This window comes from Homo sapiens, chromosome 18 (genome assembly GCF_000001405.40).
Source record: "Homo sapiens chromosome 18, GRCh38.p14 Primary Assembly".
Taxonomy (NCBI): Eukaryota; Metazoa; Chordata; class Mammalia; order Primates; family Hominidae; genus Homo; species Homo sapiens.
In genome coordinates this window covers 46,356,436-46,379,966 of record NC_000018.10, presented here as the reverse complement: position 1 = coordinate 46,379,966, position 23,531 = coordinate 46,356,436, and the positions used below count along the sequence as shown (strand labels likewise).

The 23,531-nt window shown below is 50.2% G+C and overlaps 1 protein-coding gene across 4 annotated transcripts in view, besides 1 other annotated feature; it reads right to left on the bottom strand.

Moving 5' to 3' along the window:
- ARK2C (arkadia (RNF111) C-terminal like ring finger ubiquitin ligase 2C) overlaps nt 1-23,531 on the bottom strand; it is a 129,123-nt gene that overhangs the window by 83,174 nt on the left and 22,418 nt on the right. The gene's annotated exons all lie outside the window — the stretch shown is intronic.
- Nucleotides 6,152-6,652: an enhancer, noted in NCBI's record as "H3K4me1 hESC enhancer chr18:43953278-43953778 (GRCh37/hg19 assembly coordinates)". NCBI's record gives its function as "activates a minimal SCP1, AML or CMV promoter by ChIP-STARR-seq in primed H9 embryonic stem cells {active_cell/tissue: H9 hESC(primed)}" and the evidence as "EXISTENCE:reporter gene assay evidence [ECO:0000049][PMID:30033119]".

The window sequence follows — 23,531 nt, the reverse complement described above, 5'->3', positions numbered from 1 at the left end:
CCAGTTCCATTTAAGATGAAGCCAGCCAGCAGAGCCACTGGCAGCAACGTCCCAGTGGGCCAAGGAGGCCAGGGGCAGGACAGCCATGCAGATGGTTTCTGAAGGTAGGAGTTTAGCAAGGGGCACCCTCTCAGGACAGCCTCTAGGCATCTCTTGAACGGGCCCTGAAACAGATCCCTTGTATCAAACTCCTCTTCCCCTGTCTGTGGTCCTGAAGTCACATGTCGCTTTAGATTCAGAAAGTACATTAGCTCCCCAGGGTGGCTGAATGAACTGGCCACCTCTGGAAAGGCCACACTTTCGCAGTTGGTGGGGAGGGCCTCAGGGAGTGGGGAGAAGAATTCTGAAGGTGGCTTCAAAGAGCGACTTTGCCCTGTGGGGCTGGTGGGAAGAGAAGGCCTCAAGAGAAACAAATGAGGGCGGTGCTGTTGGCCAGGCCCGGAAGCCGTTACTGTGTGACCTCAGGTAGGTCACTTAACCTCTCTGGACTTATTCCCTCATCTGTAAAATGGACTCGGGGAGGGAAGGTGGGTGTGAGGGTAAGTAGAGGCCTTTAGAATCTGGAAGAATAAGATATGAGCCCTGAAAAGAAACCAGCGCTTAGTCTCGTGAGATTGATTTGTTCTTTTAAATTTCAAGTTAAGTTTAAGGAGAGGGTTTTGTGTTTGTCAAAGTGGAGACAAGTACGGTCAATAAGCTTAAAAACCTGTGGACTAGATGCACCCCAAAAGAGATTAAAGAGGTTTTCCTTGACTGAGTGACTTGCCAGAATGATAGCGTTTCCAGCAACTCTTGTATGACAGGATAAAATCAGAGGGTTGGGGGGCCTGGGGGCTCCCAGCAGGGAAAACGAGGCCCCCAAGCCTTCCCTTTCCTTCATTGCCCCCAACACCCACACACTCTGAGGAACAGATGCTGGCTGATGCCCTCTGGTGCCCCGCTCCTTCCCTACTCCAGGCCTAATTAGGAGCAGGTGAGCCCTGGGGACAGTGAGGTCCCTTCATTTGACATATGGTTTGTTTCAGCTGCTTATTCATCAGAGCCACACTGGGGAGGAAGAGTGGAAGGTGGGTTAGACAGGACCATAGCGGGGTGCTTCATAGGAGGGGCACCTCTCTATCCTGCACCCCCTCCGTTGTGCAGCTCCCCACCATCCATAGCAGCGCTCCTCTCCAGAACTTCCTCTTGGATGCTTCGTGATGCCAAGCCCCACCCTCTTGCACCCTCTGCCCTAGACATGGTGGCCTGAGCACCACACCTTAAGTAGAATGTGTATTTATGGGTTCATGCCACTCCCTCTGCCCAGAATGCTCTCAACCTTTGTTCATCAAACTCCTATTTGATAAACAGTGGCCCTGCCTGCTGGCCTCATCCTAAATGAAACTGGAACAATTGGACCATACATCAAATGGAGGGATCATCTGACACCTCTGGGCTTTCTCCAAGCTCCCCGAAGCCTTTCCAGTTTGGGTGGTGACTTACAGAAAGCGGTGCAAAAGCCCATCACTTCTCACGCTGCCCCTCCACGGTGGTCAGGGGGAATGAATGTGCTGGAGGACATGCCCCAGGCTGAAAAGACCAGGAGCCTGGATTCTGTCCCTGGTGCTGACTCACACTGCTGTGTGGCCTTCAGCAGCCACCCAGCCTCGGTTTTCCCATCTGTAGTATGGGCAAAGGGAGAAACTACGGTGTGTGTAAACTAGAGCTAGGGCACGCAAGGGCATGTGCAGGGTCCTTGTCTTGCTTTTGGACACCACGACCTCAAACTTGCTTCCCCAATATAAATTGATAAATGGTTTGGTGCAGGGGACGTACCTTGGAGCATTAATGGAACCTGCATTCAATCTGGAAGAGCAGTTAGCTCAAATGCAAATCTCAGGGCCAACTTCCACTGGCCTCATTTCTCAATGTCTGCAACTCAGCAGTTGCCAAGACCCCTCACCCTCTTCCCAAATGCCTCTTAAACCCACCCCTCCTCTCTATCCTGCACCACCTCTGTTGTGCAGTCCACCACCATCCATAGCAGCCTTCCTGCCCCAGAACTTCTTCTTGGATGTTTGGTGATGCCAAGTCCTACCCTCCTGTACCCTTTGCTCTAGACATGGTTACCTGAGCATCACATGCTAAATAGACCAGGCATTTATGGATTCTGCCCACTCCCTCTGCCCAGAGTGCTTTCAACCTTTGTTTATCAAACTCCTATTCATCTCACAATGCCCCATCACATAGCAACTCCTCCCTGAAGCCTTTATTGATCTCTCATGCCTTTGCCCTCATGCGAAATTAATGACACCCTCCTCTGACCTCCCATACATTTGGTTCATAGAGCCTTCATATGTGCCTCTCCCTTTACCTGATAACCTCTCCCTGGCTCCCTAGCTCAACCTCCACTCCTTCATCTAACAAAATACTGCTCTGCTGCCCTTCAGGTCACATCTCCCACACTGCTTCCTCCAGGAAAATCCCCTCCAGCCACTTGCTGCCCCTCCTATGAAGCACCTTCCTGTGGGTTCTCGGGATGCTCCACACAGAGCCATTAGGGAGCTGTTACTGCTTTTTATTTGTCTGTTCTCTTGGCCTCACTGAAAGACACACATCATTGTGTGTCTAGACCAATTCCTGGCATATAGCGAGTTCCCATAAATACTTGTTGAAGGAAGGGAGAGAAAGAGGGATGACATGAACTGTCAATCTCAAGTTTCCCATCTCAGCTTTATGAAACTTTTTTTCTTTAAAGGATATTTGCTAAAGATGTGAATTTAAAAGGGGTACATTATATACCTTTTTCAGATATTTCATATGAATATATTTGCAATTTAAATAATCCAAGGTCAGGCCATGTGCTGATTGGAGTTCTGACACAGTCACCATATTCAAACCTCTCCTAGTACATGTAAGATGCATTGCTGCCTCCTCCTAGGTGCCTGACCACTCCCTGAGGTAGGGGCTGGGTTTTGCATCTTTGACTCTCTCACAATCCCTACACATAAAAGATTCTTGGCCGGGCCCTGTGGCTTACGCCTGTAATCCCAGCACTTTGAGATGCCGAGGCGGGCAGATCGCGAGATCAGAAATCAAGACCATCCTGGCCAACATGGTGAAACCCCATCTCTGCTAAAAATACAAAAATTAGCCAGGCATGGTGGTGCGTGCCTGTAGTCCCAGCTACTTGGGAGGCTGAGGCAAGAGAATCGCTTGAACCTGGGAGGCGGATGTTGCAGTGGCTGAGATTGCACCACTGCACTCCAGCCTTGGCATCAGAGCAAGACTCCATCTCAAAAAAAAAAAAAAAAAAAAAAAAAGATTATTAACCAGTGCTGGCTGAACTAACTTCAAATAAACTGAACTGAGGCCCCAAAAGAAATTTCTTTCCAAGTCACAGGGGCATAATCTTGCAACATCCCACAAAATCTGGTCGAATAGTCCAGAGCATAGGTGTGGTCTGAGGTCCCATCAGGGGATCTTCCAAACATCCCTGACAAAAATATCTCCACAAGAGGCTGCATCTTCTGTTTCCTTTATGCTCTCCACCTGCCAGGAACAAAGTTCAAAACTAGGCAGTCCAGGGCCACGCTGTGGCCTCTACCACATCCTGACTGTTGTCTGGCCATGCTCCTTAACCACACGGAACCTCAGTTTTCCTGTCCATTAAGTGGGCATCCTAACATTTACCTCATAGAGATTCTTGACACAGAGAAAGTACCCAACTAATGTCAGGCCCTTGCATGCTGTGTGTTGATTTTAGAGAGAACTAAAAGTGAACAGGAAGGGCAGGTGACCGTTTTGCTGCCAAGGCTGTTAACAAGCCAGGGGCCTAATAGCAGGTGCCAAGAGAAGTCCATAGGCCCCTCTGCCACAGGTGAGGGTGACACTCAGAGCAGCTGAGGCTTGCTGTGATGACCCCGGGCCCGGCCCTGTTCTGAGCTGTGCACACTCACTGCCTCATCTCACCCTCAGGCCACCCTCTGAGCTATTATCATCCACTTCGTAGACAAGAAAATGGAAGCAAAAGAAGATTAAGTCACTCACCCAAAATTGTACAGTCTCATCAAAGGCAGGGACTGAACCTGTTTTGCTATTTCCCCAGCCCTTAGCCCAGGGCCTGGAACCCTGATCAACCTCCAGTTGTTTGATGTAAGCAGAGTCCATGGTTGCCAGGTGGGATTGGAGGGACACTCAAAAGGGCTTCTGCCCTATGTGCTGCTCCCACCTCAAAATATCTCCTCCAACTTGCCTGTCATGGGGTCTCACCTTAACATAAAATTGCTGGGAACAAGAGAACTCCCAGGATGCATAAACCCAGGATGTGGCAGCTCATATAACGGCGCAATTCATTCAAGGAGCTAAGGAAATGGAAGCCAGGACAAGTTATTATTATTATTATTATTATTATTATTATTATTATTATTATTAGAGACAGAGTCTCACTCTGTCACCCAGGCTGGAGTGCAGTGGCACAATCTCAGCTCACTGCAACCTCCACCTCCCAAGTTCAAGCAATTCTCTTGCCTCAGCCTCCTGAGTAGCTAGGATTACAGGTGTGTACCACCATACCCAGCTAATTTTGGTATTTTTAGTAGAGACAGGGTTTTGCCCATGTTGCCCAGACTGGTGTTGAACTCCTGGGCTCAAGTGACCCACCCACTTCGGCCTCCCAAAGTGCTGGGATGACAGGTGTGAGCCACTGTGCCCGGCCAGGACAAGTATTTTTGATGAAAGGGAAAGGAACTATCTAGAGTCAATATATAGATGCGGCCAGTGACAGCACAAAAGAATGCGGCCAGGGCGGCCTGGAAGGAGCCTGGGGCCTCTGAGGGCGGGGGGAGTTGGGAGGGTGCCAGAAGAGACTCAGGCAGATGCAGATAAAGCCTGCCTGGGTGAGGTTTGTGGGGAGAAACCCCAAATCCTCCGGCAAAGCATGCTTGTGCCTCTCTCTGGTCCTCCACCTATTACAAGGGCCTGGGGCCTGGCTGGGGCCCAAGACCTGAAGAGGACATTTAGGAGGGAAGCCAGGAGGGCAGTAGGGAAGTGCAGTGACTGGGGAGGCCCTCAAGACCAAATGTCAGACTCAAGGGGCTTCTCACTCATGACCCAAGTCAATCAAATCGGCCCCTCTCTCCAGGCATGCAGGCACTTTCCATCCCCAGGAAGTGTCTCCAGGAATGCCAGGCTTGGGGTGTAGGGTCTCTAGCCCCCCCAGTTCAGCCAGAGCCTTGCTGCTTTTGTGTGCTGTATTTACTAGACCTCCGTATGAGACTCTGTTGAAGGGGGAAAAGATGGGGGAGGATTCCATTGCTTTTTTCTTTTTTAAGTTTAAAAACCAAAGAATTAGAGCACAAAGAGAAGGCATAAAGCCACCTGGCTGGGGAATGAAATCCTGACACAGGGTGCAGCACAGGTGAACCCTGAAGACGTTCTCCTGAATGAAATAAACCAGACACAGAAGGACAAGCACTGTGTGATTCCACTGACATGAGGGGCCTCAAGTAGTCAAATTCACAGAGACAGAAAGTGGAATAAAGGCTGCCAGGGGCTGGCGGGAGGAGAATGGGGAGTTCGTGTTTAATGGGGACAGAGTTTTCATTGGGGTAGGTGAGAAAGTTCTGGAGATGGATGGTGAAGATAATAGCACAGCGATGTGAATGCTGCTAATATCACTAAACTGTGGCACTTAATGGTTAAAATGGCAAATCATACAATATGTATATTTCCCCACCATAAAAATTCATTAATTAAATAATTGAAAAAAAACTATTTTGGTGGAAAAAAAAGGCTTCCTGGCTGACCCCTGAGTTTCTCGGACTCGTTCAAGCTGCCTGGGCCCCAGTCTTCTCGTGTGTGAGAAGTTTCCATAAGGGGACCCCTGGTGGGGAGGGGAGGTGGGGGACAGGGATGACAAGAATGCCCCAGCCTGGCCCTGCTCATGCTGCAGGAAGAAAAGAACACCAGGAGTAATTAGAAACATGAGGGGCCTGGGTTTACCATGGGAACCACAGCATGGGTGCCACACAGCCCCTTTGTCGGAGCAACTGTCCATCTGCTTCTGGGAAAACAGGCAGCTGCCAGGAGGGCTCAGGGGCACAGGGTCTGGGACCGGGGGTGGGAGGGGGATCTGAGGGCTAGCGAGCCCCAGCTCTGCCTTTCTCTGGCTGCACGGTCTGGCCTAGGCACTGAGCCTGTCTGAACTCAGCTTCCCCACGTGTAAGATTCAGATAACAATTCCCCCCACACCTGCAGAGATCCTGGAGACAGCCCTGTCCTAAGAGTTGTAAAGTGCCATTTACACACCTGTGAGCCTCTGGTGGGCTGTCCCTGGAGCCCGAGGAGCCAGTGTGGCAGCACTCAGCTCTCAGCCTCAACGTCACTGGGGATCTATAAAGCCCTCAGCGTCCAGGCACTGTGCTGTCTCTCGTTACCACATCACTTTCAACTGGGTCATCAACAGCCAGAGACATCATGCAGTGACCTGCTCCCCAGGATGCACCCAGGCAGGCCAGTCCTTCCACAGCAGGATACTGTGGGGCACTGTCAAAAGGCCTGGAGAGAGCCCACGACTTGCTGGGTGACTCTTGCCCAGTCCCTCCTGTACCTGGCAGGCCAGCCGCCTTCCAGATGACTGTCAAGATGAAGGGCAGGAATGGAATCTTAGAAAGCACTGGGCAAGCTCTGAGGAAATGTGCAGTGTTACACTCTCTGGCCTTTGGCTGGGCATTAGCCATGCCAGTCCAAGAGCCAGGGATCAAGCTTAATGCCCTGGAGGCCCATGAAGGAGATGACACCCTGGCAGGGCCTAGAGAATGGGGCAGGAGGCCCTTCTGCTTACCTGGGTGTGTGATGAGAGGGATGAGAGAGCCCTCTATTTACTAGTTACCTTTGGAGTTTCTAGCCTACCTTTTGACACATCCTCCAATGTGTGCACATGCACACGTACACACACACACACTCGCACATGCACAGACACACAGAGCTTCCAGTTTCCCAGCAGGAGGGTCCCCCTCCCTGAGTGAGGCTGATGATGGTGGCATTAGGAGGCTGTGGGAAAAGAAGGGAGAAGTGGAGGCCACAGTGGTGAGCAAGCTCATTGTTCCTGTGCCGCGGGAGGCTTCCTGGACACTACACAGTCCTTACATAATAGCACCGCAGTGTGGTTAGAATAAAGGAAACGTATGGATTTTGGCGCTCTCGAAATGCACAGGGTTTAACAAGTATGGATAAAACAGCCTGGCCACAGGTAACAGAAGCTTTTTGTTCCTATTAGCCAGAGCCCGAGAAGGCTCAGCTCCCTCCTCCTGCGTCTCTGCCCCCCAATTCTAACAGGAGACCCCCAACCCCTTAGGCCAGCCTCTCTCATTGGAACCCAGACACCTGCCTGTGACCATGGTCACGTGTCCTCACATGGTGTCACTCCCTTCCAGGCCTCCAACAAGCTAGAATGTGGGGTGAGCTGGAAGGGGGCTTACTAAGGTGGCCCCACATGGGGTTCATTGAGATGACAATGATGCCCTTTATGTCACTATTTTCAGGCTGCCCTGGGCACTATATCACTGGGTCTGTATGCAGCCTCTGGGAGGGGTAGTGGTGGGTTTACTGCTCTCAGCTGAGCAATGGTGGGACCGAGGCAGGAAGAGCGAAGTGACTTGCCTCAGGATGCACAGCAAGTGGGTGGCTGGATGAGTGCAACAACTTACCACCACATCTCAAACTGGGCTCTCTCCAGAATACTATGCTGCCAACCTGATAGCATCCTCAGGAGGGCCCCAGGGAGGACCCTTCAGTGCCTCTGAACTTGGCAGTATTGAGGTATAGCCCCGTCCAGCTCCTAAGGCCCTGCAGCCAACCTCCAGCCACCAGCACTGTCATCAGGGTTCACATCTGTGTGGATGCCAGTCCCTTTCTTCTACCCTAAAGGAACTGTGGGCCTCATCTTCAGGACATCTCCTGATATGGCCCATCCAGGACCCTACAGTCAGCTCTCGGAAGTGACATGGGACCAAGTCTAGTACGTTAGGAGTCAGTATTTAATAAACAGCTGTTAGTTGAATGGATAAGAGTAAATGATGAACCCATGAATGTCCCAGCCTATGTCTAAGTCTATCTGAACAGCGAGGATGCTGCAGTACAATAGAAAGGGCCTTGGACACAGGTAAATTCCACCTGCCACTTTGTCACTGTTTGACTTTGACCCAGTCACTAGTCTCTTTGGTCCTTGGTCTCCTCATCTGTATCACTGGGAAGAAAGCGCACCTGAAGCTGGGAAACACCAGTGCTTCTCAGAAGGGTTCTCAAACCATTGTTTCAGCTCTCATTTCCCAGAGAGGCTTATCATCAATACTAACAGCTGCTGTCTTCTGGGTACCAGGTGCCCAGGTGGGGGCTTCATGCCCAGGATATCATCCAAGCTTCATAAAGATCTTGTTTGCTCAAAATCCTCTTTTGGTCAGAAATGCTTTTAAAATGTCCAATCTCCTTTAACTTCTCCCTTAACCAGAGAATCTCACTGAGTCTCTCTGAGATGACTGAGAATCCAGTCAGGGCCTGGGTCATCCCTGGGATGAGGTTGCATTGTCAGAGCCTCCTCGCTGGCCTGGGCTGTGCTTCCTCCTTATCAGACCCCGTGACCCTCCTTGCAGTGGGCCATCTCGTTGGCCAGGGGAATGCTAGGCTCCTGTCTCCCCTGACCTCCTGATAGGGTTTGGCTGTGTCCCCATGCAAATCTCGTCTTGAATTGTAATAATCCTCACGTGTCAAGGGCAGGGCCAGGTGGAGATAATTGATTCATGGGAGCTGTTTCCCCTGTACTGTTCTCATGATGGTGAATAAGACTCATGAGATCCGATGGTTTTATAAATGGGAGTTCCTCTGCACACACCCTCTTGCCTGCCACCATGTAAGACGTGCCTTTGCTCCTCCTTTGCTTTCTGTAATGATTGTGAGGCCTCCCTAGCCATGTGGAACTGTGAGTCAGTTAAACCTCTTTTTCTTTATAAATTACCCAGTGTCGCGTACGTCTTTATTAGCAGTGTGAGAACAGACTAATACACCTCCCCTCTCCCACAATGTGCCCATCCTCCTTTTCGTGTACCTGATTCCCATTGGCTTCCAAAGCTCATGCTGACCTCACGCCCCCTGAGTTCCAACAGCTTGTAGGATCTTGGCCTCCCAAATCTCTCTGGGATGGCCTTCTGCCTCCTGTCAACCTCTGTCACAACCCAACTGTCCATTGGGTCTTGCCACCCAGAGAGTGGCTCAAGAGAACGAGGACAGAGATGGTATCTTATTCTATTCCTTGATCCCCTTAGCACCTGGCATGGGGCATTCTGGGGAGGCCTCACCCACACCTGGTACGTTTAAGATCAGACGTGAGAAGGGTGGCAAATAGCGATGACTGCCACCTGGGACCAGACACACTCTTGGATCCTGAATCTGAACACAATGTTTTCCCTACAGCCAAGGACAGAAAAGTCATTCCTATTCATCACAGACCCTGACTGGGGAGCAGGGTCCCCCTAAACCCCCTCCTCCATCCACCTCAGCTCATGAGAACTAGACCTGTGTAAAGAATTGGTTGAAGACACAAGCTCTGCACACTGATTTCCCTGCTTCTAATTTTGGCTTAGCACCTTATTAGTCTTATCTTGGACAAGATGATTATCCCTTCAAGGCTTCAGTTTTCTCATCTGTAAAATGGGAATAACGATGTTTCCCCTCCCCTGCCTATAGAGATGATCGTAAGGATATCATGTGAACCCCTTAGATGAGCCTGGTCCAGTATGGTCCTCACAAATGTTAATTACTATTCTATATCTTCCTTCTATCAAAGCAGGGAAGGAAGTGGGGACCCAGATTGGTAGATGAGCCTGGAAAGTGATGCTCAAAGGGAAGAGGAGCAGCAAGGCCTTTCTCAGCTCCTTCACATTGAGGGGGCCACAGGCAGCAAGAAGCTGTTATGGCCCCCAGAGTCCACACCAGAATCATTCCCAAGTCTAGGGTGCGTGTGTGTGCATGTGTGCGTGTGTGCGTGTGTGTGTGTGGAGGGCCAGCAGCTCTCCCAAGAGTGGTTTCTTGGTGTTAATTTATAGCAGATGGGCCCAACGGGCCCCGGGCTCTACCCTGATACCAAGATCTTAAGAGGAAAAGCAAGCAATGGCTCTCTCAATCTCTTGAAATGCGCATGCAAAGTCTTACTTTGTCCATTAGAAATGGGAAAAGGGTGTGCGTGATGAGAGGAATAAGGACCCCCCGGTTTATGAGTTACCTTTAGGGTTTCTAGCCCACTCAAAGCAAAGCAGAACTAAATGAGATAGGCTAGAAAAGTGCCCCCACCTCCAGCAAGGAGCTGTCTCCAGGCCAAAGTTTTCTGGCTACATTGTGTGTTAGGGAGTGGGAATAGGGAATCCCGCCCTGCAAACCTAAAGCAACACCTCACTGACCAGCAGAGGGATTCTGAGGCATTTCTCGTTCCCTGACTCCCTTCACTTCACAACCAGGACTTCAACATTCCCCGGAAGCTGGCCTGTCTCACCTCTTCTTCCCGAGTCAATCAGCTTCCTCCCTGCCCTGTCCTCTCCCACCCCCCTGCCACCCCAGCACACACACACACCAGGATTCTACAACACTCTCTGCTCAGCCTTATCCCCCTGCTTCTCCAGTAAATCCCAGCTCAGGCCACCCTGCCTCAGCCAGCCCATCTTGATGATGGATGCTGCCACCTTGAACCACCCTTCAATTGGCTCCTGGGTATCTGGAAACAACCACACGTTGCTTCTAGATACAACAAGCTTTCTTGTCCACAGAGCATACACACAGGGGAAAACAAAAACATGGCCTTTTAGATCATAGAGGTCTAGATTCAAATCCTGGCCTACCATTTATTAGTTGTGTAAACTTAAACACATAGATTAATTTCTCAGGACCGTGAATTCTTAATCTCTGTAGAGTAACACTTAAACTACATGATTAAATAACATCAGACAATCTAAGTAAGTACCATAGTGCCTGGCACATAGAAATGATGACAGTAAACATTCACTAAGCAATTACTGTGTGCCATGCACTGTTCTAAACACTATGTGTACTAACTCATCTAAATTCTCCCAACCACTCTATCAGGTAGACATTGTCATCATGCATTTGAAACATGAGGATATTGAGGTTCAAAGATGTTCAATGATTTCCCCAAGGTCCCACAGCAAGTGAATGGCAGAGCTGGGGTTTGAACCCAGGCATTCTTGCTCTAACCCTGACCACTACGCTAAACTTTCAGTGTGTGCTGCTCACTCCTGATGCTCAGCCAGGTTTAGGTACACAGTAAGCACTTCATGGTGCCTTGTGCAACTGATTAAGACTCGACTCCATAGAGCTGTCCTGAAAAGAACAGAATTGAATTGCCTCAGAAGGTCCAACTGGCTTTCCCTAAATGACCAGTGGAGCTGGGAACAAAACCCAGGCCAAGCTTTGATCAAGGTGACCTGGGCACACGCAGACCCACAGGGAAGTGGGGTACTCATGAGCTTCTGCCAGCTCTTCTATCTCATGACCAGGCACTATTCTGGAAGTCTTCGTTTCCCACCCAGTGGTTCTGGGGGTTTAGGGTGATGATATGAGCAGGGGGTGGAGGCAGAAAGGGAGGCAATGGGGGAAGAGTAAGTGCTTAAACCAACATATTTTATTCTTTATTTAGGCCTCCACGTCCCAAGCCAATCTCAGCTAACACCAGGTAGGCCTAACCTACACTTCCAGGATGAATGCATTTAGTGAACTTCCAATAAGCTTAGCCTGGAAAGGATGTTTTTCCTCAAGCACAAAGTCTCATGGAGGTCCAAGGAAGCAGATAAGGTCTAGAGCAGTAGTTTCCCACCATTTGTATGCATCACAATTACCCACGTGGAGTCTCAAGCCCAACCCAAGATTCTAATCCATGGTTCTGGGGCCAGGCCCAGGAATCTGCATGTTTAACAAGCCCCTCCCAGCTGGGGGTGCTGCCTAGGGCACCACACTTGGAGACTCACTGGCCTCAGATGATTCTCAACCGTAACTGGGCATCAGAATCATGGAGGAAAGTGGTTCAAAGTACAGATGCCTGCACCATCCCACACCAACTGCAATGAATATCCAGAAGCAGAGCCGAGAAATCCGAATTGTCTCAAGCACTGAAGTGATTCTGACACTCAAGAAGGCTTGAGAGCCATACCTCTAACCTAACATTCAGGGGATCTGGGCTCTGATCTTGACTAAAGCACAAAGTCACAGGCTACTGGTGGGGACACCGAGGCCAGTTTGGTAGAGTAACTTGCCAAAAGTCATATGAATACAACTTGTTCCATGTCAGAAGCTTTAGGCAATGTGGGTTTTAAGACCCAAGTTACAGTCCACCTCTTCACTGAGACAGCCTGATTATGAGGGCACAAGGCAATGGGTCCAATAGACCCACCTATTATTCAATAACCAATTCTACCCTGCCTCAAAGAATGTCAATGCAAGGCTTTGGCACAAATGAACAGAACCAGAGCCACTTCTTTTCCAAGAAGGAGACGGCTTCTTTTTCAGGTCACTACTATGGACAAATTGTTTCCTACCTCCCACACTGAACATAAATGCAATCCTCCAATTTGTGCTCAGACCCTAGATTATCCTGAAAATCACTGAACTGTTGACTTTTAAAGCAAATGGAAACCTCAGAGGTCATCTGGTCTACCCTATACCTGGAAAGCCAGGTATGACAGCCAGGATGGGAGGCGGAGCAGAATTGAACCAGTTGAATAAGAAGCTAAATATTGCATAAGGCTCTTGGAAAACCCCCAAAACTCTTCATCCGTAAGAAGAGATCCCACATCCCCCAGCAGATGGGCAGCCGGTAGGAGCCTTTCATCCACCCAACTCCAGTGTCTTCCTGTTGTGTTTGCTTTATGAGGTCCATAGCGTTATTTTGCTTGGTGATTTTTTCTTGGAAACTAAGTATACGATGAATTTCCTCTTGTTGTGAATCTCAGAAGTCCAACGGGATGACTGGGCCCTAAGCCAGTGTTAGAAAATCTGTTCCTTCCAGCAAGACACAGAAGACCTTTTGCTGGACTTGGATTTTTGCTCTCCAAGACTGTTTTGTTTGCTGTGGTTTCCCTAGTACCTAGCACAGCGTCTGACTTATGGCAGGTAGTCCACACGTACATGTTGAGTAAATAAATGAATGAGCATGTGAATGAATAAAAGAATGCACATAATCTCAGGACTAGGAAGGTCAGAGAAAGCTTCCGTGGCAGAGCTACATTTAAGCCTTCCTCAAAAGAAACACCTTGCTCCCAAGTGTAAAACTTCTCAGAAACCCTACTATTCCTCTCAGCCATGACTCTCATCTTTAAGGACCACTGGGCTGTGAACAAGTTCTGGAAATTCTGCATTGCTAGGCACTGCCATTTACTAAGGGCAGAAGAAAACCAGTGAGCAATTCTCCATGCCTCCTCACCAAATTGTCTGGGCCTCATCATAAAATGAGTATCTGAGTGCAGTATTTGGGAGAATGAGAAGTCCTCTGCAGGGGCTGGGCTGGGCTTGCGGAGAAGGGAGAGGTCATATAGTCAGCTGTTCCCAGCTGTCTCTCCCTAATCTGCCAGAGGGCTTAGGCCTATATCACAAGAATTATCTCTCTCTCTATTTTTTTTTTTTTTTTTTTTTTTTTTTGAGCCAGAGTTCTGCTCTTGTTGCCCAGGCTGGAGTGCACTGGCGTGATCTTGGCTCACTTCAACCTCCACCTCCCGGGTTCAAGCGAGTCTCCTGCCTCAGCCTCCCGAGTAGCTGGGATTACAGACATGTGCCACCACGCCCGGCTAATTTTGTATTTTTAGTAGAGATGGGGTTTCTCCATGTTGGTCAGGCTGGTCTCAAACTCCTGACCTCAGGTGATCCGCCCTCCTTGGCCTCCCAAAGTGCTGGGATTACAGGTGTGAGCCACCGCGCCCAGCCAAGAGTTATCTCTTAATTAGACCCCACTTTGCACTGATCCTCCATTGTCTGTTCACAAGATGTGACTTTTCCTTCTCAGGATTTGAACTTCCTTCTGAGTGACCCCCATGTTTCTACCTCCCCTGCAGTCATTCCTCAGTCATTCCTTGCCCACACCCTCACCCCCATGCAAATCTAGCCACAAAGCTGGAGCTTCCCTACTGAATGAGGATGGGGAAACCCAGCAGCAAAGTGAGATGTCCCACTTTGGGAGGCCAAGGCAGGCAGATCATGAAGTCAGGAGTTCAAGACCAGCCTGGACAACATTGTGAAACCCCATCTCTACTAAAAAATATAAAAATTAGCTGGACTTGGTGGCATGTGCCTGTAATCCTAGCTACTGGGGAGGCTGAGGCATGAGAATCGCCTGAAACCAGGAGGCAGAAGTTGCAGTGAGCCAAGATCGCACCATTGCACTCCAGGCTGGGCGACAGAGCAAGCCTTGGTCTCAAAAACAAAACAACAAAAAAAAATTCAAGATCACAAAATGAGAAAGTCATCCAGCCAGACCTCAGACTTGGTGCCCTGCATATCAAGAGCCAGATTCTTGTGAAGACATAGGTACATCTGTTCATTAGTGGAGAAAAGGCTCTTCCAGAGACTTCTAGAGACAGACATAGGTCATCCCAAAAAAGACCTCCTGGACTCGACCCTGCGTAACCCTGAGTTGGGGAGTGTAGGGTGGGGACCACTGACAGGGGGCGTGGGTTTCTGAAGAGCCCACATGGGAGCCTCAAGGTCTGAGCTTAGGCCACTCCCTGCCATCCATACCCCCTCCCCTTCAGCCAGGTTAAGTTCCAAAGAGCAACTCTACTTTCCCACCTCTAACAAGAAGGCAGGATGCTGCCTGGAGAGGACATGGCAGAGACGCAGGGAATGGTGATAAAGCAGGAATATCAGGAGAACCAGAGACTTATAGGGCATTAGAAGAAAGGGAACTCCCAGAGACCCCCAACCCCTCACTCTTCTCCTGTCACAGAGGGAGAAACAGACCTCTGAGAGTGTAGGAGAGACCCAGCTGGGACCAGAGGGCCAGCTCTCCTGAGACCTGGGTCAGGGCTGTTTTCTACCCTGAAGTTCCAGTAAAGCTGGCCAGAGTCAGCCGCCTGCTGAGGCCCCAAGCCTCCTGCCCAGAGAGCAGGAGCCCAGAGATATCCAGTGGACCTGACTCTTCTGCAGGTTCTATGACCTCGGTGGCCGTGCGATCCTCAGAAAAGGCCACCCTCCATCAGTATGTGAGCACGGATGGGCAGAGAGAGCCTCAGGACAGGAATGTCCCAAGAAGCCATGTGAATCACCAAAGGAGAGGCTGTGGTGCCTCCAGCCTCACTTTTGGCCACATCTGAAGAAAACAAAATCCAGCTATAAGCCAATCCTAAAATCCAGGCATCAGGCAGTAGGTGTGAAGGCTTTTCCAGTTAGAGGGGAGGTGGCCTGAAATGATATGTCTGGTAGTCACCTTGTCTGTCGGCATCACGAAGGGTTCTCTGGGGAGCCCACAAAATGTGTCCCTTTCCAGTTACTTTAGAATGCGTGTTCTACGACTTTAGAGCTTTTTTTTTTTTTAAGTTTCTTAGACCACACCAAAACATGTTTTGTTTAATGTTGTTAACTTCTGTGAATTTTTGACCCAAGCAAACTTTGGTTGGTAAAAAGTGCATAGGTGGAGGTGGGGAGGGCAGGAAGATCCCAGAAAACCTTTGTCCTCAGAAAAGCAGGTCAGGGGCCTGGCACAGTGGCTCATGGCTATAATCCCAGCACTTTGGGAGGCTGAGGCTTGCAGATCACTTGAAATCAGGAGTTCGAGACCAGCCTGGCCAACATGGAGAAATCCCAGTTCTATTAAAAACACAAAAATTAGCCGGACATGGTGGTCCCTGCCTATAATCCAAGCTACTCAGGAGGCTGACGCATGAGAACTGCTTGAACCCAGGAAGCAGAGGTTGCAGTGAACTGAGATTGCACCACTGCACTCTAGCCTGGGGGGCAGAGAGAGACTCTCTCTCTCTCAAAAAAAAAAAAAAAAGAAAAGAAAAAAGAAAAAAAAAGAAAAGAAAAAGAAAAGCAAGGTCAGGAAGCAGAGTCAGGGCCTCAGACCCACTGAAAGGTGACCCTGGAGGTCACACCCTCAACGGTGGCCCCTATGAATTCATGTGACCACCTCAATTCTGCTCAGAAAGTCCAAGGAGACCCAACCTTAAAAAGTATGTTTCCTGCCCTCAAGGAGCTTATAGTCAGCTGGGACTACAAGGCCAGCTCATTATAACGGTGAGAATCTTAGCTCCTCAAGCAGCCCATAAGTCTCCCATGGGCAGGGCTGTGACTTGACAGCTGCTCTCCTCCATGTCCCCTCCCCTGGGCCCGTGATGGGGCTGTACACTGAGTGGACATCAACCAGCACACAGGAGGGAGGTTTGCAGGGGTGAATCAGGGATCCAGAGACCACAGGGTGCATCCTGATTTGTGGATGTCTCAAGTGAAAGAGCCCTGAGGCCCTAGAGAAGCCAGGAACGGGCACTGTCTCCAGGCAGGCACATGCCCCTGATGGCCGGAGAACTGCAAAAAAGAGGAGCTCTGGCTGAGGGCACTGTGGTGTGTTCCTTTCGATATTTTTTAACATCTAAAATACAGCTGTCTCTTCTGCAGGGTAGAAGACCTGGCCTTTGCTTCCTCTGCAGCCAAAGGTGGTAGAAGAATTAAGAGTGCTGCTCATCTTCAGGGTCCCGTTCAAAGCCCAGAGAAGGAGGGATGTTCTTGGCTGACAACACAGTAAAGCCACATTCATTTAGACTCCAGTGATTTAGACTGTTTTGTCATTCCCATTTATTCAGTCTACAAGTACTTATTGAGCACTTATTATGTTCAGCACTGGGCCAGACAATGGGGATATAGCAGTGAACAAATCAGGCAAAACTCATGCCATTGAGAGCTTCCATTCTGGTAGCAGCAGAGGTTGGTCTGGTTTTAACTCTACACTTTTTCTGTGGGCGTGGAAAGATCTCTGTGGACTCCACACAAGAGCCCCGGGGTCTGTCTGATTCTTGGCCACTATCCCTCCCGGTGATTTTTCTTCCCCTTTAGAACTCAGTTTCCATATCTGAAAGTGGAAGGACTGAGTGAACACACCTCTAAGATTCCTCTTGGCTCTCGTATGTTGTGCTTCTAGAATTTAAGGAAGAGGACTAGAGGGAAGTGCAGAAAAGAGAAACTTGTCAAGCACTTTGAGCATGTGTACTTAAGTGCCATTCAACCTGATGTGGTTGTCGCAGGGCATTATTCTTTGTTCACTGAAGCAAGTTCCCAAGGTTTCACTGGCTAAGGCCAAGAAACCATATGTCTGGAAATAGCAAAGCTTTGAGGCTCTCATTAGTCAAAACGAGTGAGGCTTGGCTGTGCCACTATCTATTTGGGTGGCTTCTATGCTGTTCTTCAGGGTTTGCAGGGACAGAAAACCCCTGAGTGACAGAGAGGGCTTCCAGGATGAAATTCTTGGCTTTGCTAATGAGTGAGCCAAACCCCTTGGGGCGCGCACACACTCCTCCCCTCAACACACTCTCCCCTCAACCACTGGGGTAAAGCAGGCATCTTATTAAAAGTCTGTTATTCCTTTTAGGGGTGTCCTGAAACACTCACCTAGCAGGCCCTGAGACAGTAAACCGAGGCCTAAGAGTCTCAGTTAGAAACCAGCTTTCTTGCAAAACCCCTGAAGGAAAACCCTGCCTCCCCAAGAATCCATCCCAAAGGCCTGCTAGGGCCCACTTCATGGCCTGGTGGAGAAAAGATTGACCTTGGAGGGGACAGCGACTGCCCCTTGACTCATTTGTCACCTTGGGCCTGCCCCTAAGCCCAGAGCTTGGGCACCCCATTACACTCCCATATGAGTGGGGCTTGGGGTGGCAGGGGGGCCTTTGGCAGGCTAACTCCAGCCCAATTCAAGCTCCATTTTGCTTGCCATCTGTAAATGCCTTTGAAATCCTCAGGGATATAAATGAGCTATTATCTTCAATGCTGCCCTATTTCTTAATTTCTGTAAGTGGGGAAACGGGGCATGAAGTAGATAATAGGATCATGGAAATTTGAGCTGAAAAGGATCTTCCAGAGCATATCACCTAACCTCCTCATTTGCTAGTGCAGGAAGCTAAGGTCAGTGGGGATCAGAGTCTCATTCACTCAGGAGCACACAGCCAGCAACAATGGGTGGTGACCTGCAGCAGCTCCTGGCTCCCGCCTGGGGAGGGGATAGGACTTGGTGCCCAGGCCAGTGCCCTGCACCTTGAGTAGGGTAGGCTCTTCCTCAGACAGCCAGCTTGCTTCATGCTCCTGCCATAATCATGTATATTGAATGATAGTACTGAGAAGAACATTAACAAGGATCAAGAGGACCAAATGGAATAAGCAAGACCATCTTTGAAAGCATCCAAAAGAAACTGTGGAGGGGAACCGTGTGGCCGGGCACAGGGGAGAGGAAGCCTTGCTTTGCACTGTGGCACTGTCTGCCTTTTTTTGGACACTGGATCATGTGCCTGCCATACTCAGTTAAATATTAATGTACATATATGCTGCATATGTACAGCAGATCGACACAGATATATACACAGACATATGTAATGATTTCTATATCATTATAAACATATGGAAGTAATATGTTCTTTTTCAGAAGAGCAAGGCTACAGGGATTCAGTTGAAATTTCACTTTGGAGAGCAAGGTTGAGAGTTCATCTTTGTCTTTTGTTTTCCCATCTGGAGCTGGGGTGAAGCCCAGCTTAGAGCACCCAAAGGCTCTAAGGAGTTTCAAAAGGTATTACTAGAAAAGACTCAGTATGGTGTCAAGGGGTTAAAAAAATTTTTTTACACTGGGCATCAGGAAAAATGTGCTCACAGCCCAGTTAGCAGCGTGATCTTGGGCAAGTTCCCAGCTGCTCACTGAGAGGTTAGCTGGAGTCTTAAACCTTTTCCACTTGCAGAAAAGGTAATGTTTCAGTTCCTTCAAGTGCAGTGTTCTGTGGACGTCCACTTGGAAAGCTTGGGACAGCTATGGAAAGTCACTTGCTGTGGGGCTGACGCCTGGCCTCTGGGCCAAAGCTCCTCCACAGCTTTGTCTCCCCAGGAGTTCCGCTGCTGAACACCCCAAGGCTGAACAGTGTTTAGGTGGGCCCTGTGACCCTGCCTGGTGCTACCTAGGTAGGATTCCACATACCCGCCTCGTGTGCCCAGGCGTATTAGAGGGCAAGGGGGGCCTGCAGGAAGGAGGTGGTGAAGGCAGGCCAGGGGCAGGGCAGGGTTCTCCCATAGCACCCCATCCCCTGGCCCCCAGGGAAGAGCTGACTGATTTACTAATGCAGGGGTCTTTCGCCTGGGGCTGCCTGGTGCTTCAGCCCCAAAAGAGGAGAGGAGAAGAGAGAGGGAAAGTCTGGAAGGCAGGGGTTGCCATGGAAATGTCTTTCAGAAAAGGACACAAGCAACCTGGGCCTCCAGGGTCTGTTTGTAAATGAGGTGTTTGGAATTCCAATTGCATTTTCCTCAGGAACCCTGAGTTCCCAGGATAGCCCACAGAGGCAGTAAAACTGCTTGTCCAGCAGGGCCTACCCTCCAATTTTGAGCACCATTGTGGGGAGCACCTGCACTGTTGCAGGGGAGCACCCTCTGTGTTCCTCCATGGCTGGCCACAAACACATGATACCCCGCCTCTGTGCCCAGCAGCAGGAGTGAAGACCTCCAACACCATCAGCACCCTTGGTGGAGACTGAGGGCCCCATGCGGGAGAGGAGGAAGCCCTTGAATGAACCACACTGCCAGGAGAGAGGACAGCTCTGTTTGGAGGAGTGAGCTGGAGGACCTTCAATGGGGCCATTGCATGGACTTGTGATGCGTCTCAGGGTATTCTGGACCTAGAGTGCTCCTCATCAACTGAAACACTGGACATGATGACTATGGTAGAGACCTTGAGATGTCTCCCAATATCCTTCTTCCTCCCATTCTTAGCTGACACATGGATATCTGGAATAAAGATCCTTTTCCAGGTTCCCTTGCAGCTAAGTGTGATCCTGTGACTAAAATCTGTCCATTCAGATTTAAGTGAAAATGTCACGTGCAATTTCTAGGAAGTGCCTTAGTTTCATAAGGCACTCCCATCCCATCCTCTGGCTGGAATGCAGACTCAAGGGCTGGAGAGTTAGCAGCCATCTTGGGCCATGTATGACTTTGAAAAGGGAAGTTGTGAATGGCAGAGCAATAAGTAGAAGGAGCCTGGGTCTTTGCCACTGAGGGGCACCACACCAGCCCTGGATTGCTACCTCCAGACCTCTTCCTGAACATGTGACAGAAATAAACTGCAGATTTTAAACAAAACAGAATCCTAGCTCATACATGGGCTTTCAGGTGGAGTCCATGGCTCTCAGGCCTCAGTTCTTACATTCTCTTGGCTCTCTATCTCCAGCCCCACCAGTCAGCTTGCTATTCCCAGGACAAGCCATGAGCCCTGGCCTCTAAGATGCTACTCCCTCTGCTGAGAACCCTTTTTTCTACCTGGCTAACTGCTCATCAGTGGTCAGGTCCCCTCCATGTGCCACCTGCTCAGGAGGCCTTTGCCTGACCCTGGAACCAGCTGAAATCCCAGCTGTGCCTCCCCACAGCTGCCTGCACACTCCCTTTGTCACGTTCATCGTTTTGTGAACTGCTTACATAAGATCCCTCTCTCCCAGCAGACAGACCATAACCCCACAGGCAGGGAACAGCCCACCTGGCCCACCCTGAACCCCTGGGCCTGGCATCATGCAGAAATTGCCATGTGGAAACTCAGATTGTCAGACTGAATTGAATTGCATTGTTCTAGCTTCTAACGTCTTCCTCTCATGGGAGCCCTATGAAGGAAGTGGATGTTACTGCCTCTCCTTTTACGGGGAGGACAACTGAGTCCTGGGAGGGGGAAGTGACTTGCCCAAGCTTTGTGTCTGCTCAGTGTCAGGACTCGAGCCTAGCTCTCCTGACCCACACAGTGGCATGGACAAAGGGGTAGGGGACCTGGGGCTCTGTGGGGACAAGAGTCCGGGGGTGTGACTGAGAGAGTCTCTCCTCTCACTGTGGTCTTTAAGTCAAAAGCACATTTCTTGTGAGGCTGCTCTGAGCAGGCCCTCCTCTAGGCACCGGGACACAGTGATGACCAAGGCGTGTGTCACTCTGCCCATGGGTTTCTCCCTGAGCATGTGAGAAGGAAGGGGTGAGAAGCTGGTCAGTGTAGGGACAAGAAGGAGAGGAAGGGGTGTTCCTGGGGGTCTGGAACCTGTCAGTAAGGGCCGGAGGCTCTGGGCTTTGGAGAGAGGGATCAGCTCATTCTACGAGCCTAGGTGACAGTCACCCCTCCTTTCTCCACAGCCACCACACCTGAAGGCCAGAGCTGCAGGAGTTGAGGAAGGTCACAGAGGGAGGCTGAGGCCACTCCAGAGCCCCACAGCTTCCTTCAGGGGAGGAGCAAGTGGGTTACCTTTCGGGTACGCTTCAGGCTTCAAAATTGCCGTGGCCTCATTTTACGTGATTCCCAGTCCCAGAGGGCAGCTCTGAGGTCCGCAGATCCTGTCCTATGGCTGGGTGTGCTGTGTACATTCCTGCCTCTGCTGTCCTTCACTCGTTCACTTCCTCACACTAGGCCCTGCTCCCCATGTACCTGGATTCTCTCAGACAGGGAGGCCTCCCCTTCCTGGAGCCCACTGCCCTGTCCACCCCAGCCTGCGCAAAACATGCCCTTTTCTCTGAACGCTTGCAGCCCTCACAGGGGGTCCAGCTCATGAGGCCTGCATGACTCATCCTAGCTGTGGTTTGAGTTGTGCCCCCTGAAAAGATAGGTTGATGTCCTAATCCCCAGTACCTGTGAGTGTGACCTTATTTGGAAACAGGGTCTTTGAAGATGTGATCAAGTTCAGATGAGGTCATACTGGATGAGTGTGGCCCTAATACAATGTCATGATAGGCCATGTGGAGACACTGAGACACTGTGACAACAGAGGCGGAGACTGGAGTGATGCGGCTACAAGCCAGGGAGCCCCAAGGACTGTGACTGCCAGCAACCCCCAGAAGAGAGGAGAGATGAGGAAGGAATCTTCCCTGGTGCCTTCAGAGGAGACGGCTGGCCCCGCGGACAGCTTGATTGCAGCCTTCTAGCCTCCAGCACTGTCAGAGAACACTTCTGTTGTCTAAAGCCACCCAGCGTGTGCTATTTTGTCACAGCAGCCACAGAAGCCAACAGACCCCTCATCGGAGGCAATTCCTGCCTCCCTAACTGGAGGGTGACTCCCAGGCATCTGGAGGCATCTTGCTGTCCTCTGTGCCCCAGGCCTCGAGCCCAGTGCCCCACAGAAAGAGATGATAGAGAGGGACTGGTGGCCTGACCAAGGGTCCTGAGACCCCCAGTGGTTCCTTCACAATCACCTGGGATTCTGCAAAGGAGTTCAAGAAATTCTCATCCCACCTCCACCTCTGCCAGCACAGCCCACCAAAATCAGGCCACACTGCTGTTTTCTTGCCTGACACCCTGTTCTTTATTTCTGATCCTCAGCACTTTTCACAATTTCATATTGACTTGTGGATCATTTGCTTACTCTCAGTTACCTCCACTAGATTCTAAGCTCCACAAAGGCAGGGACCACCTGGGCTCTGTTCACTACAGTCTAGGCCGTGGCTAGAGCAGTGCTTGTTACTTAATAAATGCTGGGTACTGACCACTGTTACCACTGGGGAAGAGACCTGGGTAGCAAGGGTGAGGTGGGAGGAACAGGAGAGAAACTTACTATTCAGCGAGGAGTCCTTCATATTGTTTATATTTTTCCTATGTGCATTCTGTCCTCTTTAATGATAAAACAACGAGTTCATACTTGAAATTCGCAAACACATAAGAATACAGATTCCTACCTCAGAAAGGTAGATCTGGTGTAGGGCCTGGGAATGTGGATTTTGCAAGCTCCTCAGGTAGCCCAAATGACAGGTGTGGGAGTTGGACAAAGCCACTTGTCCCCCACCTGAACTCAGCATTGCAATGCAGGGCACAGATCACGCCTTTCCAGCCGGGGCTCCATCTGGTTCCAGAGGAAGCCTTTTAACCTCTGGAGTTTCCGTTTTCCCTGAATGTAAAGCCTCTGTCTCTTGCACCATGCCTGAATAAGACCAACATCTAGAATTGAGGCAGGAAGCTGCGGGGAGAAGAGGTGACACGGTGGAAGGAGCAGATGACAACGCCATCAGAAGGGCTTTGGGGAGGTGGAGCCCTGGGAGAGGGTGCTAAGCCCCAGGCACCCTCTCAACCTTCAGCTGCCTGTGTCTGGGGCTGGACATGTGGGAACCCATGATGGAATCTGAATACTCCCTTCTGTGTGTTCAGAGTGAGTAGTTAGTCCCTGATCTGGAGGCAAGAAGTACGCATTCCGTGCCTGCCCAGGACAACAGAGGCAAGAATCAACCCCTGGGATCTGCAGGGCTCCCTCTCTCTCTGCCCTCAGGCTCAGGGCTCTGGTAAATATCACACTGACAGCAAGGCTCTTTCTGAGTGC